The sequence below is a fragment of the Homo sapiens genome, chromosome X (assembly GCF_000001405.40).
Source record: "Homo sapiens chromosome X, GRCh38.p14 Primary Assembly".
NCBI lineage: Eukaryota > Metazoa > Chordata > Mammalia > Primates > Hominidae > Homo > Homo sapiens.
In genome coordinates, this window is record NC_000023.11 from 130,775,322 (window position 1) to 130,796,669 (window position 21,348).

The window sequence follows — 21,348 nt, forward strand, 5'->3', positions numbered from 1 at the left end:
GTGACCTGAGACAGCACCACTGCACTCCAGCCTGGGTGACAGAGGGAGACCCTGTCTCAAAAAAAAAAATACTAATATTATAAAAAAATAAAAATAAGTACTTATTCATGGCCTATCCTGTGCATTCTGGCTCTCAGGTCTAAATGCCCTCCAACTCTTTTATGAGTGAGTAGAGCCTAGTCAGGGCACAGGCACCATCTTCTAGAGGTAGACCTACAGGCCCATTTTGCTCTTCATTTCTAGCTTCCACTGAAGTGTGACACAGGCCATCACTCTCAAGGGCGCTGGGACGGTAAATGGTCTGCTCTGAAGGCTCACTCATCTCCACAGGTGAGTATCAAGGAATACATTTGAAGCTAGAGGTGGTAGGAAGTCTCATTAGGCCTTAGACACAAGCCATGTTCTTCAACATAATTTTATCTATAATAAAGTCGATGCCATATTTTGTTCCTCCTGAGGTGTTTTGTGTTTTTTTTTTCTCAGTTTGATTCAGAACTGGAAAAAGAAAACCAGTGTGGTTATTTCATGCTCTTACACCATAACAAGCAGAGCAGTAACCATAAAAGTATTATCTGACTGCTTTTAAGTTGCTTTCCCCATTAAACAAATTTGGAAACTGAGGCTTAGAAATGGCTTCTGTGGTCCACCTAAGGCCAAAAGTCTAATAATAAGTGTCAAATTCAGTACTAAAAGCACAGACTTCAGTATAGTTTTCACTACATGTCTGAGTGTGCTCCTTTCCCTTATTAAGGCTAGCGAGGACCTTACAGGTCCCAAGGACAAAAATGACATTTGCTTTCTGCACTTTACTAAGCTAGGAGGAGATGAAAACAACCTCTCAAAATGCAAGAATCCTCTTACTCTGAAATTCAGTTTTACTCACCTAAAACTGATTTTTTTTCCAGACAAATCTTTGCCCAATAATCACGAAATTGAAAGAGATTCTCTAGACGAAGTTATACAACAAAGTTTAAATCACTGATATAGTTTAGGTATTTGTTCCTGCCCAAATCTCATGCTGAATTATAATCCCCAATGTTGGAGGTGGGGCCTGGTGAGAGGTGTTTTGGTCATGGGGGAAGATCCCTCATGGCTTGATGCTGTCCTTGTGATAGTGAGTTCTTATGAAATCTGGTTGTTGTAAAGTGTGGCGTCTCCCCCTCCACTCTCTCTCTTGCTCCTGCTTTCGCCATGTGACATGCCTGCTTCCCCTTTGAGTTCTGCCATGAGTAAAAGCTTCCTAAGGCCTCCCCAGAAGCTGAGCAGATGCCAGTACCATGCTTCCTATAAAGTCTGCCGAACCGTGAGACAATTAAACCTCTTTTCTTTATAAATTACCCAGTCTCAGGTATTTCTTTATAGCAATGAAAGAATGGCCTAACACAACCACAGACAAAACATAAGTATAAAATGTTTTCCTGCTTGAATGGAGTGGCCTTAAGGGTAGGCTGGGATGGAGGACACAAACTGTCCCTTACCAAGTAATCAGGTGTCACAAAAAGATTCTTCTGTAATTTGCTGAGTTGCCCGAGTTCTGCTCTAAGAAAGCAATTCCTTCATAGGTATTTCCCAGTCTCAAACTCTTTTCTGTCTTGAGAACAAAGTGCCTTCCCCTGTGCAGCAGCCAAAACAGATACGGGGCCTCCCATACCACCAGGTGAGCTTGTGACAAATCACGTAGTACTATTAGCATGAGAGAAGTTAGCATTTCCAGGTTACAGATACACTTTCACAGTAAAAATGAATCAATTACATGCCACAGTCCTAGCCAATTTGAAATGATTATATGGGTCTGGTAATAACTAGTTCTCATTCTGCCATGAATTAACCATGTGACCTTAGATAAATCCCTTCTCTGGGTCTCAGTTTCTTCATTTATAAAAATGATGGAGTTTGGCCAGGCATGATGGCTCATGCCTGTAATCTCAGCACTTTGGGAGGCTGAGGCGGGTGGATCTTTTGAGCCCAGGAGTTCGAGACCAGCCTGGGCAACGTGGAGAAACCCTGTCTCTATTAAAAATACCAAAATTATCCAGGTGTGGTGGTGCACATTTGTAGTTCCAGCTACTCGGGGGGAGCTGAGGCAAGAGAATCACCTGAGGCTTGGGAGGTGAGCTGTGATAGAGCCACTGCACTCCAGCCTGGGTGACAGAGTGAGACTCTCTCTCTCTCAAAAAAAAAAAAAAAATGCTGGAGTTAGTTGAGGTTGTCTCCAACTCTAAAACACTAGACTTAAACATCTACCACTAGCCTCTATATTACCAACGTATCAGGCTACTTACACTTCATGTCTGCTGAGAGAATTCCTAATGACTTAAGTACAATGAAGTCACAAAATCATTCCAAAGCTATTTCAATGATTCGGGCAACTTAAGAGAGATGTATTTCCATTTTTCTATCCTGCCTCTTTTGTGCCACCCTGTCTGCCCTCCCCTGGACAGTCCTTGAAAATGAAAACTTCACACTGGATTTCTTCTATCAGACCTGAGAAAGAAAGTAGGCTTACTTTTTTGATCCTCCAGTTTTCAAGATAATGGTTTTATTTCTTGAAGCTGTAATCAGATGAAAATGTCCAAAGGACTAAAGAAACTGAGTAGGGCTATTAGTCTACCCTTTTTCTTATTTTAATTCTATCTGAGGGAACAATAGGCTCTTCTTGCCTTTGGCAAGATAATAATTCAGCTGACATGCTAGAAATACCACACACCAAGATATAAAATGGTGGCATTTTCTCTCTTTAAAAACAATCAACGCTTTCATCTGTGGACTTCAAAGTACACATGAAATAAAAAGTCTCAGTCCTGTGAGTCTGAGGTAAATCAAAAGGCTATAAGTGTCATAGAAAAGTTTCCTGGTTCGTAGCCCTCCTTTCAGGTAAGAAAGGAAACAAAAGTACTCTCAAGCAGATGAGTGTTCATCTCCTTTTTATATTTCTCTTCCAAGTGAGCCTGAACAAGTTTTCTGATAACCCATTCTGATAATAGTTCTTCTTTATGGCTGACCAAATTTCTTCTTGCTGCTCTACAGGCCCACTTTCTCCTATTAATCTAGCCTTGTAGTGCTGTAATTGTTCACTGTCTTTATATTGTCAAGTATCATTTTGATTTCCAGAATTTCTAAAGGAAAGCTGAGAATGGAGTTGGGAGGTCTATGATCAAGACTGGATACTCTCTGGAGGTCCTTATTTAATTATAACACTCCTGGTGATGCTAGTCTACCTTAGATAAAGTTATTTCTCTTCTCTAGTGATTAGCACCTCATGTGTAAAACGCAATGAGTATGAGAATACATTAAGAGAAAGAAACAATCACCATACCAATACAAATTATTATTGATTTTGAAGGGTCTTTCTGGAGATCTTGAACTTTTGTGATTAAATAATTATTGCAAATGAAAACTGGCTGAAGATCCCTCTTTTCACACTGAGTCATTCGTTATTCACATGAACTTCGGCAATACTACTTTTGACGCATTTAAGGACAAATCTATCTTTCAACCCAGGCTTATAGAGAAAAGACAATGGAAATAGGACTCTGCCCACACCTGGATGCTCACTTTGGTATTGTAATTATTCCTGGGTAGTTTCCCACTCTTCCAGAGAGCTGACACCTTCTTTGAATATTATTGTACCATGATGTTGCTTAAAACAATGCATTCGATTTTAGTCATCATCCAGTTGGCCTTGTTGACTCATGGTTTTTTCCACTTTAGTGGAAGTATTTCATGAAAGAGTTGGTATTTCTGCTTCTACAAATCCAGATGGCTCTCAAACCAGGAGGCAGTTGGCAACTTTGAGAAACGAACTTGGCATTGTGATTTTACATGGGTTTAACAATCTTCTACTCTTTTGCTATAGAGTACCATCTGAATAAATGGATTTGCTGCCATCTTAGACAATTTGTACAGCTACAGCATCACCAAGGAAACATTTCCATGGGGAAAAGGTAAAATTTAAGAGGAAACACACTCTGAAGAATTCTGAGCTCATCTTATAAAAGCTACAAAGCAACCAGATCCACAAAGAAAGATTATGTGGTCAAATATGGCAGTAATGTCTAATCCTGATTACTGGTCTACTTCATAGTTGAGGCAGGACATTTAAACTCTACCTATCAGTTTCCCTTGGGCACTTAAGAAATCTCAGCTGTAATAAGGCAAGGATTCCATTAGGGCCAGGTATTTTTTTTTTTCACAAGCACCCAGATTTGATTTGTGCCTGTTCTAAGGATGTAATCTCACAAATGTCTGAGTAGCCTTTAGGGACAAGTGAAGCTGTCAGTTGGTCAAATTCAGATACAAAGGCAGAGTTTCGTGCAAAGCTCTATCCTGAAAATAACAAGAAAATAATAGGGAATATAAAGGCATAGAGAAAGCAATTATTCAATCAAATATGTGATCAAGCAACAAATATTTCTGGAGCATCTATTTTGTGTAAGACACCATATCTCTGCTAAGAGAGTTGGGGCCCTTCCAACAGGGGAGTTATAACTGAGTTGAAAAGCTAAGGCATATATATATATACACAAACTCATAAGCAATAGTTCAAGGTGGTCCACAATCAGTGTCAAGTGATTGATATGAATTTAATGACCGATATATTTCAGAGGTACAAGAGAACATTTCTAATTAAGATGATCCAGAAGGCTTCTTATAGAGGGTAGGACTTGTACTAGGCACTGACAGTTGGATAAGACTTTGACAAGTGAAAGAAGAAGGGGAGCATGCTGGGAAAGGGAAATGAATGGTATGAGCACGGTGGTGAGGTAGGTAAGCACAGTGTCTTCAGAGAAAAGTAGTGGATCGGTGTGGCTGAAATAGAAGACTTGTTTTGGGGAGTAGCAGAAAAAAAAGAAAGCTGAAAAGAGGAACCATGAGATCTGAGTTTGAAGGGATCCTCAAGATTATCATATCCAAGGCCTGCTCCTCTTATTCTTACCTATTTATTTCCACATAAACACAGCTTTCCCTAGTCTGCACCAATGTTTTACATACATTTTAGTGGTGGTTCTAGATTCCTAATAACTTTAGACACAGTAACTTCAGCATAGTAGTTAGAAATAGACTTTGGAGTTAGAGGCCTGGGTAAACCACTTGCTAGACATTCAACTTTGGGTAAGTTTATCCTTTATTTCTTCATCTAGAAATGTGGGTAATAGTATACTTACAGTCGAGGGATGAAGAAAATGAGAAAGAAGGCTTGAAGGAGACAGTAAAGGAAGAATCTGCAAAGTGTATTACCAAGGAAAGCAAAAGTAGAGAAAATACAAAGAAGGGGGCATTGTTAATAGCATCAAATGAAACAAAGAGTTCAAGGTGGTTGCGACCTGCCAAAAGGCCACTGACTTTGACAATCTGAAGGTCACAGGTGACCTTTAAGAAATCAGTTTTAGTACAAAAGGAAAGAGGCAGTTTGTAGAAAATGGAAGAGGTAGGAGGGTTGGGAAAGGGAGGAAAAAAGATTGTGTAGTGTGGAACTGGATCTGCAAGCAAATATCCCTCCCTCGTTTGCAGGGAAGGAGAGGGAGAGAGATGGCTTTGACTCAGTGGAGTTACAGGGCCGAGTGATGCAATGACTGGACATGCAGCTTGGAAATGAAATGGTCGGTAGCTCCTTTGGGAACTTCCAACTCTAGCTTTCCTCCTTGCCACAGTGCAGGGAATGATGACAAAGGAAGAGGGAAGTTGCTACTCATGAAATATCTTCCCTCTTCCTTTTGTCTAGTACTGCAGAGGAACAAAATAATATTATAAAGCTGTCTGCCTATTTACAATATCACAAGATTGCTGCTGAACAATTATAAAATTGTTCAAGTATAAATTATACAATTATAAAAGACTCCTTGTATAGTAAAATCTCATTAATTTGGACTACACTAATTTGGAATTTGTGGTAATTTAACCTGGGTTGGAGTTACCTTTGTCCTACTAACAAAGAAAAGGTTCTCTAAGCAAATATTGAACAAGATTTCAAGGGAGCTAATTTAGCCTGCCAGGGGCTTATTTCACTTATTTTAAAGAACATACTGTTTTTTAAGAACTTCAGCATATTCATTATTTGAATGCAAATTGTTCTGCTAATTATAGATTAGCATAATCTACTGTTAAAATCCTATATGTGCAAGTTACTTTGCTCTCACTGAATGTGCTCATTAGAAATAAAACTGCAATTCTTTAAAGTTAATTCACAATTCAGATTAATACATACTTCCTTTCCCCACCCTCATGAGTTAACTGCAGTTCAGGAGGTATTACCCTAAACTCACACATCACTTAACATCACTTAACATGAATACAATGGAAAAACTAGTAGGTGATCATAAAAGTCTCAGAGCCAGAAGAGATGTCTTAAAGTTGATGCCCTAAATTCTGTGCACTCTATCCGTGGCAGGTTCCACTTAGAGCTGATTTAACTTTTACTTATACTAATCTGGCACATCAGCTTGGAGAGATGGCTGGGTTTTGTTGTTGTTGTTGTTGTTGTTGTTCTTAATTCAGTAGAAGGAGAAAAACGGCTGCTACATGAAGGGACGATGAGAGGAATAAAAAGTGACTGTAGGCAGCAGAAAGGAGACAGGACATGTGTAAAATGTGGCTATAATAACTAAAAGACCACCGCAGCGTAGAACAATTTAGTGTAGAGGTAAAAAACCTATACTTTTTAGTAAACCCTTAAAAATTTAAAAGTATTAGAGTGCCGTACAATAACTAATGACTGGAATTACGCCCCTAAATGATCAAGCAAAGTTTAAATTATATTGAATACATGTCTTTAAAAGACAGATGAGTTTATACACATACACACATATGGTTTATACTCATAATGCTTAACCTAAAAATGTGAAACACGTTGATGATTTAAAACATGAAATTTATAATATCATATAATAATGCTAATAAAATAGTAACGTTTATTAAGTGATTACTGTATGCAGACACCATGCTAAGCACTTTACCTACATCATTTCAACTAACTGTCATAACAAATCCTAAGACATAGGCTTTAGTATCACTTTTACTTTACAGCTGAAGAAAGTGACTCTCAGAGAGGTTAAGCAAATAACTCCAGGCCACAGAAAGAGATAAAACCAGGATTAGAACTCAGGCCAGTTCCTTGGCTATACACCATGCCTTTCCATGCTCCAGAAAACAGAGCTCTCTAAGAATCACTCATTTCTTGAGGGTTCCATGTAACTAATGTTTTACTGTATTTTCATTTTCCAAACTCATATTTAACAAATATCTTGATTTATAAGCAGAGATCTATGATCTAAGAGTCAGATATGATACATTTGTAAACATGTTCCATTTCACAAGCTGAAAGTAAAAAGTAATAATAAAAAACAAAACAAAGAAAAAATGATGAACATGTCTGTTATGCCCATCCCCGAATCTCAGATCAGTTTCTATATACTACAGATTCTACTTCCAAATGAATAACCATGCAACAAAGACATAAAATTGTAAAATATCAAATGATCAGTTAAGATGTGGCTCTCCTATGGTTTTCTCACTCCTTTTGGAAAAAAAAAAAAAGAAACATTAAGATGAGAATAGGCCAATGGGACATGAGGGATTGGGGTAGGAGAAATTGCAAGGGAGGCTAAAAGCTCCATTGGGCTGTTATAGAGGGTTTAGAAGAATCTGTTTGCCAACTGTTCTAAGAGAATTATAAGGGCATAAAACATATGTAGGCATAGTGGGTATTGAGGGGAACAGGGGTAGAGGTGGGGAGATGCAAATATATGCAGCTATCTGTATTAGAAGTAAAAGTGAGGATGGCCTGCCACATGTACATACAAAGACAAATGCACAGTGAAACCATTCACTCATGCAATTCCTTCTACCTAAATCGATGCTCTTTACTCATCTCTTGTCTCAAGCCTACCCATTCTTCAAGGATCAGCTAAAAATGGCACTTCTGCCATGAAGTGTTCTATAATCCCTAAGGCAGAATTAAACTCTTCCTCATTTGTGCTCTCATCGGTTTTTCACCCTTTACACACTTGCCACAGCACTGATGATACTCTATCTAATTATCACAGTTATTCGTGTATGTGCTTTTCCCTCCTTCAATCCCATAATGAGTTCCATGAGGACAGGGGACTCTTTCTCATTTATTTAGTTCCTACAAGCTCTAGCATAGTATGTGACCTGCCACATACTAGGCTCTGGGAAAATGTTGACTCTGGTACTGGCTTAAGACAGTGCATTATCACCTAGCTTACCTGAAGGAGTATTTGTTCTCTTTCTTTTCTTGCTTGATTCCCCTCCATTCTCAATGAGGCCTTCTGTGACCAGAGGGCCACTGGCACTACCAAACTGCAGGGGCTCGTTGTTGTTAGCAGGGTCAAAGGGCAGCTGGTTCAATCCTAAAGAAGAAAAAGAAAGCCAAAGTCCAGACTCCATTAAGGACTGGGATTGTCTCCAGATTTTATTATATGAGCCACTAGTGGAAAACCTTTTAAATCTTAAAAGCCTAGGAGAAACAGGTGAATTCCTTAAAGACAGTTGCCTTCTGTAATTTTTACAGATCTTTTCGGTAAGTACAAAATTAAAATATAAGACTGTGGCTCTGTCATTTGTAAGATCCCTCCTGTTTCTGCGGCAACTTAACATTTTTAGTCATAAGCTAGCAACTGATAGGTCCCTCATTAAATGTGGCTATGGTTGGACCCACTGTTCCTTGTAAAAAGTTTGGCTTTGCATTCCTTGGATTATCTCCTGACATTTTACCATTCTTTCATTACAAGGTATGTTGATCTCATGCAGATATAATCATCAGACTATCCTGTGTCAAAGTCACTTCCAATAGTAATATAGGGGTCTCTAAAATCAGAAAACCATAACTCCATGGCAAATGAGAAAAGGAAACAAATATATAGAAATTGCAAGGGGGTTATTTAGTAGCTGGAGCAATGGGGAATTATGACCTAGATTTCGGTAATGTTAATCTCATTCTCTTCAAATAATATTAGAAGCATGGTCACTTTACTCGTCACTGCTGCACCATATAAAATGGCAAAAGGTATTTTCTACTCTCCAAGTCTTACATGGTTCAATCAGGGGCAAGCAGAGACAGAGACAGTTCTTACTCCTCTGGCAGCAGCACCTGGAATTTCAAGTGTTTCAATTAAACTTCATGAAATGTGAAATCAAAAGCTTTTTTAAAGCCCAAAGTTAAGACATCTCCTGTAAGCCTTTTCTCCACTGGTTCTCTAATCCTATCAAAGGGGGGGAAATCAGGTTGGCCTGATATAGCTCACTCTTTTTTTTTTTTTTTTTTTGAGATGGTCCCTTGCTCTGTTGCCCAGGTTGGAGTGCAGCAGCATGATCTTGGCTCACTGCAACCCCCACCTCCCGGGTTCAAGCGATCCTCCTGCCTCAGCCCCCCTAGTAGCTGGGATTATAGGCATGCACCACCATGCCTGGCTAATTTTTGTATTTTTAGTAGAGATGAGGTTTTGCCATGTTGGCCAGGCTGGTCTCAAACTCCTTACCTCAGGTGATCCACCAGCCTCGGCCTCCCAAAGTGCTGGGATTACAAGCTTGAGCCACGGTGCGCAGCCCATAGCTCATTCTTTAACTCCCAAATTTTCTATGGCCCATAGCTGTACAATTCTTGAGGTAATGTTGTAAATTGTCAGTTAAAAAAAAAAAAACCTTGAAATCCAGTCAGCTAAAGGTCAATCAAGTTTCAATAAAATGAATGCTAAGATTCTAATGGGCTGGCATGGTGGCTTACACCTGTAATCTCAGCACTTTGGGAGGCCGAGGCAGGCAGATCACCTGAGGTCAGGAGTTCGAGACCAGCCTGACCAACATGGAGAAACCCCGTCTGTACTAAAAATACAAAATAAGCCGGGCGTGGTGGCACATGCCTGTAATCCCAGCTACTTGGGAGGCTGAGGCAGGAGAATCGCTTGCACCCGGTAGGCAGAGGTTGCAGTGAGCCGAGATCGTGCCATTGCACTCCAGCCTGGGCAACAAGAGTGAAACTCCATCTCAAAAAAAAAAAAAAAAAGAAATGACATTAAATTATTATTTATAATAAAGAGTATCCTCTTGCTAATGTTTTCAGCCCACATAACAAGTACTGTTTTTCAGCAATCAGATTCCACTTGGATCACCTCCATTAAATGTCTTCTGGAACTTGTCAAACATTCTTCCTTACATCATGTGAGTAACTAAGTGAAAGAGTAAAACTTGCTTCTGGATCTTAAGCGAACTGTTCACTGCATCATATACATGTTCTACTAAATCCCTACCATGACTAGAACTAAAGAAACAAACATCAATTGCTATGTACTAAAAAAAAATTGAGATCATGACCAAGACTATTTAAAAAGAAGACTAGATGTTTATTCCATTTACAAATGAAGATTGTTCTCGTACCTGATTAGTCCCAGAGTCAAATATGATTAATATACTAGTCCAAAACTTTTCTTGGAATTTCTTTCTGAAATATACTGATCAAAACAAGTTCCATGGAAGACAGAATGGCATAGTGGAAAGATCCCGACAGACCGGGATTCAAATCCTGGTTATCCTTTACTAGCTGATACCTTTTGGCAAGTCATGTGGTCTCTCTTAGTCTTGGTTTCATAATGTGTAAAAGAGAGTGATAACACACCTAAGGCTGTGGCAAAGATAAACACATACATATTTATGAGAATTACATTATTCTAAGTAAATTAAAACAAACTTTCCCCCTATAAACTTGAAAGCTCTCCTAAAAAGGAAACTTCCCTCTCTCCCTCCCTCCCACAATTATATTCTTGGTGCCTAGCACCATACCTTGAGCGCCCAAATGAATTAATCCTTAATTGGATGGGGGTAGATGACTCATTCTTTTAACCCATGTAATGAAAGACCTGACAGCTGATAATCAAGAATTAATGCCACAGCTTAAAAGTTCTGATGCTGATTATATCAACATTACTTAAAATAATTAGATTCTAAGTGCATCTCCATCATTTGAGTACTATACTACAGAATGGTAAAATGCTGATGAAAAGGAATGTTCAGGGATTAGGAGGTTCTGATTAATGACGGTGAAACAGAAAAACTTTTTTTTTTTCTTTTATTATTATTATTATTATACTTTAAGTTTTAGGGTACATGTGCACATTGTGCAGGTTAGTTACATATGTATACATGTGCCATGCTGGTGCGCTGCACCCACTAACGTGTCATCTAGCATTAGGTATATCTCCCAATGCTATCCCTCCCCCCTCCCCCCACCCCACCACAGTCCCCAGAGTGTGATGTTCCCCTTCCTGTGTTCATGTGATCTCATTGTTCAATTCCCACCTATGAGTGAGAATATGCGGTGTTTGGTTTTTTGTTCTTGAGATAGTTTACTGAGAATGATGGTTTCCAATTTCATCCATGTCCCTACAAAGGACATGAACTCATCATTTTTTATGGCTGCATAGTATTCCATGGTGTATATGTGCCACATTTTCTTAATCCAGTCTATCATTGTTGGACATTTGGGTTGGTTCCAAGTCTTTGCTATTGTGAATAGTGCCGCAATAAACATACGTGTGCATGTGTCTTTATAGCAGCAAGATTTATAGTCCTTTGGGTATATACCCAGTAATGGGATGGCTGGGTCAAATGGTATTTCTAGTTCTAGATCCCTGAGGAATCGCCACACTGACTTCCACAATGGTTGAACTAGTTTACAGTCCCACCAACAGTGTAAAAGTGTTCCTATTTCTCCACATCCTCTCCAGCACCTGTTGTTTCCTGACTTTTTAATGATTGCCATTCTAACTGGTGTGAGATGATATCTCATAGTGGTTTTGATTTGCATTTCTCTGATGGCCAGTGATGATGAGCATTTTTTCATGTGAAACAGAAAAACTTTTTATTTTTGTTTTGCATTTGATAATTTTACAGAATAACATATTAGTCCATTTCCCTGACTTATTAAGTAGATGACTGAGGATTTTCCGGAGGTTTGGAGCCACAATTTGCAAAAGGACATTAATAAGAGTACCTAACTCACAAGACTGCTAAAAATATTAAATGAGATTATATATGTAGAACATTCAGCATAACATCTGGCACATAGTAGATGTTCAATAAGTATTAACTACTACTATTATAACATTGAATTTCCATTTTTAATTTCTAGTTACTGATGTGCAATGTGAGGAGATTGTTCTGAATCTGCCCTGATCCAAGGATGTACCCTGCTTTCCTCATTGAACCTTTTCATTCCTGTTTGTACCTTTTTCTAAAAGTTGAAGGAATCCAGGGGAAAAAAAAATCTAATGAGTTAAAGGTGTTCAGTTATAGACATTTTATTATAATTATGCTTGCCCTTTCTTTAGGCCCATATGGTAACCTTAGGGATATAGTTATTTTATTAATTACATGGATGTACAGATTTTTGGCACCAAATTAAGACTGAGATTTCAAGTACTTTCTGTGTATCCACCTCATATATGATCCAGATATGTGAAAATCATGACAATTCAGTACAACATTTCAGGCCTAATTTTTTTTATAGAGAAAGATCTCATATGGAGGGGGGACATCTCACTCAGTAAGCTGACTCGCTGAACACAAACCCATATTTTATATCATCCAATACCCAATACAGTCTCCAAAGATTTGTAGTTCAAGAGGAAGGATGAAAGAGACAGCAAAATCCTATGACACCAGTGCTTCCTAGCTACTTTTACTGTTTTGTTTCATTCCTTCCATAAGACAGGACCAAACAAACCAATAAATCAGTAAATCAATAGGTATTTAAAGGGTGTTTTTTGTGTCATGTATATGTGACCCAGGTCAAATGCTATTTTAAGTAAACTAGTCCCATTAAAATGATTAAATACTAAAAAAGAAAACCACCACTTTAATTCCAAGAATTCTTATTGCTGAAATTTCAATTATGACATAAATATAAAAATATTGGCAATTACCATATTGTAATCCTCACCCAAACTACAGAATTTATCTTTAAATCTCTTATGGAAGCAATTTCTACCATTTTTTCTAGACATGATGAAACTGAAAAATATTAGATTTGGAAGAAAGTTTTGAGGTTATCTAGTTTATTCTTCTATTTCTATAGAAATTTTATCTATAGAATTCCTGACAGGCCTAAATCCAGGGGCACTGCTTCGCCTGGGACTCATTCCTTGCTGGGCTCCCAGGCATTCAGCTTGCTTTTAAAAACTACCACCTACTCTATTTTGGGAGTTCCTTTTATTTCCCTAAAACAGCTTCTTGCTTATCTTACCTAAAATGAAGACATAGGATGTATAACTTTTAAAAGTTTCTACTGATAATCACTGTAAGAAAAACAAATGACAGAGTAACAGATAACTAACAAAGTCAGAAATTGTCCAAAGTCTTACGCATTCCTCACAGTCCTTGCCCTTTTATTCCTAAGAATAAATTTAATAAAACCTCATACTTCGTTCATTTGTTTCCCTCACATCTCATCTCCTCCCTCCAGCCCACAAAATTTACAGTTTGTCCAAAGGGAAGTACAAATTATTAAAATAAAGACAAATAGATAATAAACACTGGTGTTACAGATTTCTACTATTTCTGTATCTCATGTTCACAATAAACAAATCCATGTGGTAACGTAATCTCATCTAAAACCAAGTTGACTGGTGTAGACAGCTGACCAGCTGTTATTTCATGTCATGTTGAAATGCAGATTATCTGACTCCATAACACGTATGAGGCTGCTTTAGAAAGTATGTATATTGGGAAAGGGTGGGGGTGGGGTTCCTTGTAGAATGACATTTCTCATCTAATGGAACTAGGGGGTTAAACATCTCAGAATGAAGTGTGATGCTCAGTGAATACTCCAATCTGCAGGTCAAGGAGTTCACAAGCAATGTTATGTCTGCCATACAGATGCAAATGATTCGTGGGCTTTGAGGAAAGCACTAAAGAATTTTCATGATTCTTGTGTGAGAAGATCAATAATCTCTTTGTGCCCAGCTGCTTTAACAGTTACTGTCACAATTCACTTTACATAGCTGTCCACTATCAGGTCAAATTAGGACCAACCTTCATGATGCAATCTAACACTTTTAATGATTGCCCCAGGTTGTAATACCAAAATGTGACCCTGTGAGTGAATGCCACTTTTTATCTGCAGCTGTGGCTCAGAGACTGTATAACCCTAGCGAAAAGAAACACAATGCCACCCTGGATTAGTTAGCTTTAAAAGAAAATGGCTAAAATCTTGAGAAATCTGATAAATTCAAATTAAGGCAACAATCTCAACACATAAATTAATGTTGAAAAAATATCAGTACTTGGCAATAAGAACAGTCTAGCTAATTTGTCTGTAAAACAAGTTTCTATAACCTAATTCTTATTTTCCAAATGACTTCAATTTAAAATCAGATATGAGATTCCATGTTGGGAGATGAGGGTCTCCAAATTTGTTTTCAATTCAAAACTTTTGGAAAAATAAGGGATTAAGATAATGGCCAGGCCCTTAATGTTCTGGCAGGTGCTGTTGAAGGATTTATCCATCTCTGGAGGGCCCTCCTCACTTTCATTCACCCCTCCTGCTTCCTCATTCTAGGCCTCAAAACCATATTTGTAGCTCTCACTACCCAACCATTCCACCTGCTACTTCTGAGGGAATATTTACAATGTCCAAAAGAGTTGGACCGCAATATTACTCTTCAGCCACAGGGCTTAGCAGCCAAGACAATTGAACATTTCTCAGTGCCAGGTCTTAACTGATGTCAAACAAATGAAACCTACTTTGTCAATTTCATGAGTTCAATATTCTAACTGGTTTAGCTGAAGCAAGGGTAATTGTATGAGTTACAAATAATGGGTAAGTAAAGGTAATGAAGAAGAAGTGAGAAAGAAAACGGAAAAGTCCTTTTCGGAAGCACTAAGGGGCTTGCTTGAATGGTGGTAGACAAACTTTCAGAGCCTAATTTATCTTTAAGTCACCATTTTCAAGGTGGGATACAGGTCATAGACCAATTTTCATTGGCAGTGATCCTTCAGCAACTTTTAATGACTCCCCAAACTACTTGGTCAAGTCACTAAAGTCTCTCATAAAAAGGCCGCATCCATTTCAGGCCTTGTCTCCCACTATGCCCCAGCTTATGCTCTACCCTAATACTTCTCAAACTTTTTAATGTGGACATGTGTTCCCTGAGGATCTTGTAAAAATGCAGATTCTAATTTAGTAAATCTGAGTTGTGGTCTGCTTTTATAAGTTCCCAGATGATGCTAATCCTGCTGGTGTGGGAATCACATTTTGAGTCAAAAGGGCTGGCACTCCAGCAAAATGGAACTACAGCATTCACTGAATCCATCCAGTACTTTCCTACCTCCACACCTTTGGCTCACACTGCTCCTCCACCTGCTTCTTAATTTTCAATGTTCAAAATATCATCCTTCCTTTAGGGCTTATCTCAGATGCTATTTCCTTCATGGTGTCTTTCCTTATTCACCTCTACCCAAACCAATACATACACAGCAACAGAGAGAGGGGAACTACCCATCAGGGAAACTACTATTCATTGGTTGTTTAGGATGTGCTTGTTTACAAACATTATCCCTTTATTTTATTTTCTAATTATTATTCTTATTTTACAACAAGGAATGAGAAACTTACAGAGTTGAAGTAAATTTCCCAAGGTCACACAAGGAATTCAGGCTTTTTGTTTTTCCTTTTTGTGGTGAGCAGGGTCTCACTATGTTGCCCAGGCAGGTAACTCCTGGGCTCAAGCTATCCTTCTGCCTCTGTCTCCCTAAGTGCTGGGATTACAGGCATGAGTCGCCGTACCTGGCCTCAGGATTTTTTTATTATAAAATACTATTCTGGCTGTCCTTGAATGTTAGCCTATACTTTTCCTGAGCCTTTTAGAGCATGCCTTGTGTTACAGTTCTTTGGGTATTCTGTCTTAGCCTACCTTCCCTTCTGCCTTACCCCACTCCCACTTAGTGGTAAACTCCTTGAGGACAGACTTTATGCCTCAGTCATTTTTTAGTCTCTCCTCCCCCAAGACGTGGCGCAGTGCCTTGTATTATATTGTAAGCACTCCAGAAATGAGTATTGAACTGAACTCAGCTACAATTTGGGATACAGCATGGATAGTATCTGACTTACAATGGTTCAACTTACGATTTTTCAACTTTATGATGTAAAAGTGATAGACATTCAGTAGAAACCATACTTCTCTTACCACGCTGGGCAGCAGTGGTCAGCTGCGGCTCTCAGTGAGTCACAAATTTTTGACTTATGATATTTTCAATTTTCAACGCGCTTATCAGATTGTAACTACATCATAAGTCAAGGTGTATCTGTAGTTGTGTTTCCCATCCCAGGCACCAGCTGACCTGCTGCTGGAGTTGTCATGAAAGGAAGAAGGAAGTAAGGTTTATGGGTTCCTTCAGCATTCCTGGTATCTTCTGCATCTTAGGATTCCTGAAGCCTGGGGAGTGATGGTAGACAATCACACACTCCACTCCTAATGTATCTGCATAATTTCATTCTCTCTTTCTGAAGGGCAAAACAGTCCTTCCATTGACCAAGACCGTTACCTGAGAGAATACTATAAAAGAGATCCCATATATGGATCTTCTGTTAATCGTTCTATGTACATCAGGTTACATGTCCCATTTACAAACTACAGTTAAGAAAAGGCAGTCTCTATCCAGTCTACCATTGATGGGCATTTAGGTTCATTCCATGTCTTTGATATGTGGTACATATACACCATGGAATACTATGCAGCCATAAAAAAGAATGAGATCATCTCCTTTGCAGGAACATGGATGGAGGTAGAGGCCATTATCCTTAGCAAACTCACACAGGAACAGAAAACCAAATACTGTATGTTCTCACTTATAAGTGGAAGCTAAATGATGAGAACACATGGACACACAGAGGGGAACAACAGATACTGGAGCTTACTTGAGGGTGGAGGGTGGAAGGAGGGAGAGGATCAAGACAAATAACTAAAGGGTACTATGCTTAATACCTGGGTAATGAAATAATCTGTACAACAAAATCCCATGACATGAGTTTACCCCTATAACAAACCTGCACATGTACCGCTAAACTTAAAAGTTTTTAAAAAAGAAAAGGCAATCTCTGGAGATGTGCTATGCAATACAGTAGCCACTAGCCATATGTAGCTCTTTAAATTAATTAAAATGGAATAAAATGAAAAGTTCAGGCCGGGCACAGTGGCTCACGCCTGTAATCCCAGCACTTTGGGAGGCCGAGGTGGGTGGATCACGAGGTCGGGAGTTCGAGACCAGCCTGACCAACATGGTGAAACCCCGTCTCTACTAAAAATACAAAAATCAGCTGGGCATGGTGGCACGCGCCTGTAATCCCAGCTACTCAGGAGGCTGAGGCAGGAGAATCACTTGAACCCGGGTGGCGGAGGTTGCAGTGGGCTGAGATCACACCACTGCACTCTAGCCTGGGCTGACAGAGCAAGGCTCCATCTAAAAAAACAAAAAACAAAAAACAAAACCAGAAAGAAAGAAAAAAAGTGAAAAGTTCAGTTGCTCAGTTGCACTAATCACATTTCAAGTGCTCAATAGTTACATGTAGCTAGTGGCTGCTGTTTTGGACAGCATATTTATATAACATTTCAATCATCCCAGAAACTTCTGCTGGACAGTGCTGCTCTAGAGTCAGATCTGCATTCAAAGCCACATCTGCAACTTACTAGGTGTGCCACTTACTAAGTGTGCCACTTACAAGGTGTATAAAACAGGTCACTTGATCTCTCTCAGACTGTTTCTGCATTGTAAAATGGGGATGATAATGCCCCCCTTACAGCAAAGTGAGGAAAATTAAATAAGAGATTGTATGTTTAAGGTGTAGCACATGTTGGACACTAAACAAATGTCAATGCCCTTCTAACCCAATGGGGGGTTTATATAAATTTGTCTCAAAAATGGAATAAGAACATTTGAGTAGTGTGGCTCCTTCGGCCTCCAGGCTACAGTCTATTTACAGCTTGGAAGATGTTAGCTTTGCATTCCTCTTCTAACCTACTTTTTCTTAATAACACAAAGCCATTAAAGTAAATCATGAATAAATAATGCGGGAGTAGTCAGTGATTGCTCTTTGCTTGGATTCTGTTTAGGAGACCATATTCATCACTACCTTGAACTGTCCAACATGAAAGAATCACATTTTCCCCTAACAATGGAAATGTCTCCTCCCAAATCTTTCAGGAATGCTCTGTTCCATCTGGGTGCTGTACTATCAGAACACTGCTAGCAGTGATACTACAGCTGGACTAGAGAGAGTATCATTTCTCTCTAAATCCATATTTTCGTACACTCATAATGTTCTCTGTGTTTTTTCTGTGGGGCTGACATCTCCCAGGCCTGGTAAAGGGTGAATTATTCGAGAAAAGTCTGAACTAAATCTGTTAAGGTGTTTGTGTTCCGTGAGCAGAAAAGCAAAATACATATTTCCAACTTCAAGAAGAAGAACACTTCAGGACTTTTTTCCCTTGTCCAATTTAAGGCTTGGGAAACACAGCAAAATCACATTCCTCATTGAAAACAAAGTTCAAAAAAATGTTGATTTGATAGAACAGTTCAAAGTGACAGATGGTAGATGGGTGATCTATCATTTTCCTTAGAATAAAGTCTGTCTGGCAGTCTTCAGAGGAACTGAGAAGAGAAAGCCTTATTTTGTTGTAGTTTAGCCCTGGGAACAGTTACAGCAGCTACCCTTTCTCTCCACATCTTTTGGGGTAGGGGATTGGAAAGATGGTGATTCATCAGTGTCTGCTTTGAGCTGGCTCTAGGCCATGCTGTAATTCCTGTTGACCAATTTTCCACCTGAGTGACAGGAAAAGGGCAGGTTCCTAGCACACTGACCATTAGGTTATCTGTTGAGTACTTCCCTGAGAATGTGCCCAGAGGTACTCTATTATGGTTGTCTCTGTCTAAATAAAATAAATAATTGCAGATTTCAGAGCCTGAGGACAGAGAGTTGTTCTAGTATTGAAATTGGAGTCTATCTTGTCAGATCTGTAATGAGGTCTTCCCTTCAGGCTGATTGATTTCATAAAACTGAGGCAATTATCAAAAGCAAGCACAGTTCTCCCTGCAGAAACCACTTCACTGGTTTTGAAAACTAGCTTGTCAGCCAGATCTGGTCAGGAGCCTAGGCTGAGCCAGCTCTTTAAGTAGGAACAGTTACTACACACAGAGAACACCAATTTCTGCTAATAGATTATTAAGATGCCAGTAAATAAGTTGTAAACAAGGTTCAGCAAAATAATTTCACATGCTGTGAGTGAATGAAAATTGAAGTTGCTGTCAAATAAATCTGCATTTCAGTGTAAGATGTTTTGAAGGAGAAAGTGAGAGCTGGTCTTTTGGTCTTTGGAGAGTTAATTTTATCAGTTAATGCTAGAAGGATACTGGTATCCTTTAAGACTGATGCACCGCATGAATAACATTTGTATCTTTGCTTTGCCCAAAATGTACACACCAATTTCACCAGATTTCCTTTCTTTGTTTATTCAGCCTTCATTAACTATTTATCCAATCACTATGCTACAATTTTAATTATCTTCTAATTAACCAATGATGAGTTTGTGGTTTAGCATTCCCTAAAGATAGAACCACATAAATATGGTCAATCTTCATTTACATATTCAAAATTTTTATCCTCCCTCCTGGCTCCCACCCTATTAATTTTGCTATACTGCGTCACTAATGTTCTGGAATTATGCTTTCTGCATTCCTAATCTTTTAGCCCCATTTGGGCTAGTTTTTCAAGAATGTATGAGAAATAACCCTCGCTGTTGGCTATGAAATTAAACACACAGGAGAAAACAGAGCTTCCTGTAATATGCTAATGCATCCTTAAAGATCCATACTTTTCCTATAACAATTTCTCCTAGGAGTATCAATACAAGGTGTTGACAACTGATTAACTCCTTTAGAGAAGTCCCTGCCTAAGCTGAAGTCAAACCTACCACTAGGAAAACCAGAATCTGCTCCTTGAGAAGACAGCATGACTGTAAAGTAAAAAGCCTGCAAAAAAATCACTAATCTGTGTCTGAAACAACTCCTACCATTGCTGTTGTATAAAAAAAAAGTAGGATCTTAATTTTGCTACAGTCTGGATTTTAATTGAGGTATTCAATACATATGGGAATAAACAAACCAATAAATTAATATTGACTGATAGTCTCTCTCTTTATTTGTCCAATTCATTCAAACAATTCTGGGTGCCTTGACAGTATGTAAGGCTTGAGAATTTTAGGATTTAATATGATAGTTTTTTTTCCTCAAGAAGACAACAAAAGAAAGAAAGGCAGATACATACAAAGAAAATCTGGCCCAAATTACTGTACCAGCTTCATCTCTTGCCAATTCCCCTAAGTACCCTTTGCTTCATTCATGCCAAAATTCTCAAAATTCCTCAAACATGCTAAGCCCTGTCATGTCTATGTGCTTCTGCACATACCATCTCCTCTGCTTGACATATAACTTTTCCTTTTTCCACCTGGAGAACTTTTATTCATCCTTCAAAACTCGGCTCAAATGTCACCTCTTCAGTGAAGTTTTACCTAACCCCCAAAAGCTCTCTCCACAGGAGTACACAGAGCCTTATCAGACGACTTATTGTAGGATCTTAGAGTTCATTCTAATATGTGTGTGTGTGTGTATGTGTGTGTTCTGGGTGGGGGGCTGTCACCATCTGATTTGTGCCTTAGAAAGACCACTCCTATGGCATGATGAAGGATGCACTGAAGGTGAGAAGACACCAGAGGCAGAGAGACCAGTTAGAAGAAAACCATAATGATACAATGGAGAGATGACAGTCGCATGAACTCAGACAGTGGCAGTGGGATGAAAAAAAATGAATGGATTTCAGAGATATTCAGGAAATATAATCATCTGGATTTCATGTATAATTGGATCTGGGAGTTGAGGAGAAGAGAGGAGTCTGAGATGACTCCATGAAAAAATTCTTAAGCCACAGTCCTGAAAATCCTGCAACATTTGTGGGTTTCAGTATGAGAAAAAGCACAGTCCAATAGAAGCATATCCATAAATCCATGCTCAAAAATAAAACTGCTTCCAATCTCTATTTACCATGGCATAAAGGCTGCCAGGAAACAGCAGTAAATGGCTTACACTTGACCTTTACTAGGTATTCTTAACAAAGCTTGTCAAAAGATATTAATTCATTCAGAAAAAAAGTATAATTGTCTAAGAGGCAGAATAACATAGTATTGGGATAAAGATGGGGAAAAGCATTTTCATAATAGGTCTCAGACTTGGTTTATTTTGTCTATAGCATTCACTGACAAAAGACAAAAGTATTTTTGAAGGTCAGAA

At 38.8% G+C, this 21,348-nt stretch overlaps 1 protein-coding gene across 17 annotated transcripts in view, besides 1 other annotated feature; it reads right to left on the reverse strand.

Annotated features, from left to right (window-relative positions):
* ENOX2 (ecto-NOX disulfide-thiol exchanger 2) overlaps positions 1-21,348 on the reverse strand; it is a 280,885-nt gene that overhangs the window by 152,997 nt on the left and 106,540 nt on the right. For 11 of the 17 annotated variants that reach the window (NM_001382522.1, NM_006375.4, NM_001382519.1 and 8 more), the window contains one exon: positions 8,226-8,369. The exons of 4 other annotated variants lie outside the window; for them this stretch is intronic. Coding sequence is in view for 3 of the 13 variants with exons in the window: in XM_011531245.3 (XP_011529547.1) it covers positions 8,226-8,369 (144 nt within the window). In the remaining 10 variants the exon portion in view is untranslated. Of the gene's footprint in view, positions 1-8,225; positions 8,370-9,050; positions 9,110-21,348 lie in introns of all 17 variants that reach the window. 2 more of the 17 variants (XM_047441768.1, XM_047441767.1) reach the window with 1 other exon arrangement.
* Positions 999-1,048: an enhancer, noted in NCBI's record as "active region_29944". NCBI's record gives its function as "activates an Ori minimal core promoter by ATAC-STARR-seq in GM12878 lymphoblastoid cells {active_cell/tissue: GM12878}" and the evidence as "EXISTENCE:reporter gene assay evidence [ECO:0000049][PMID:35858748]".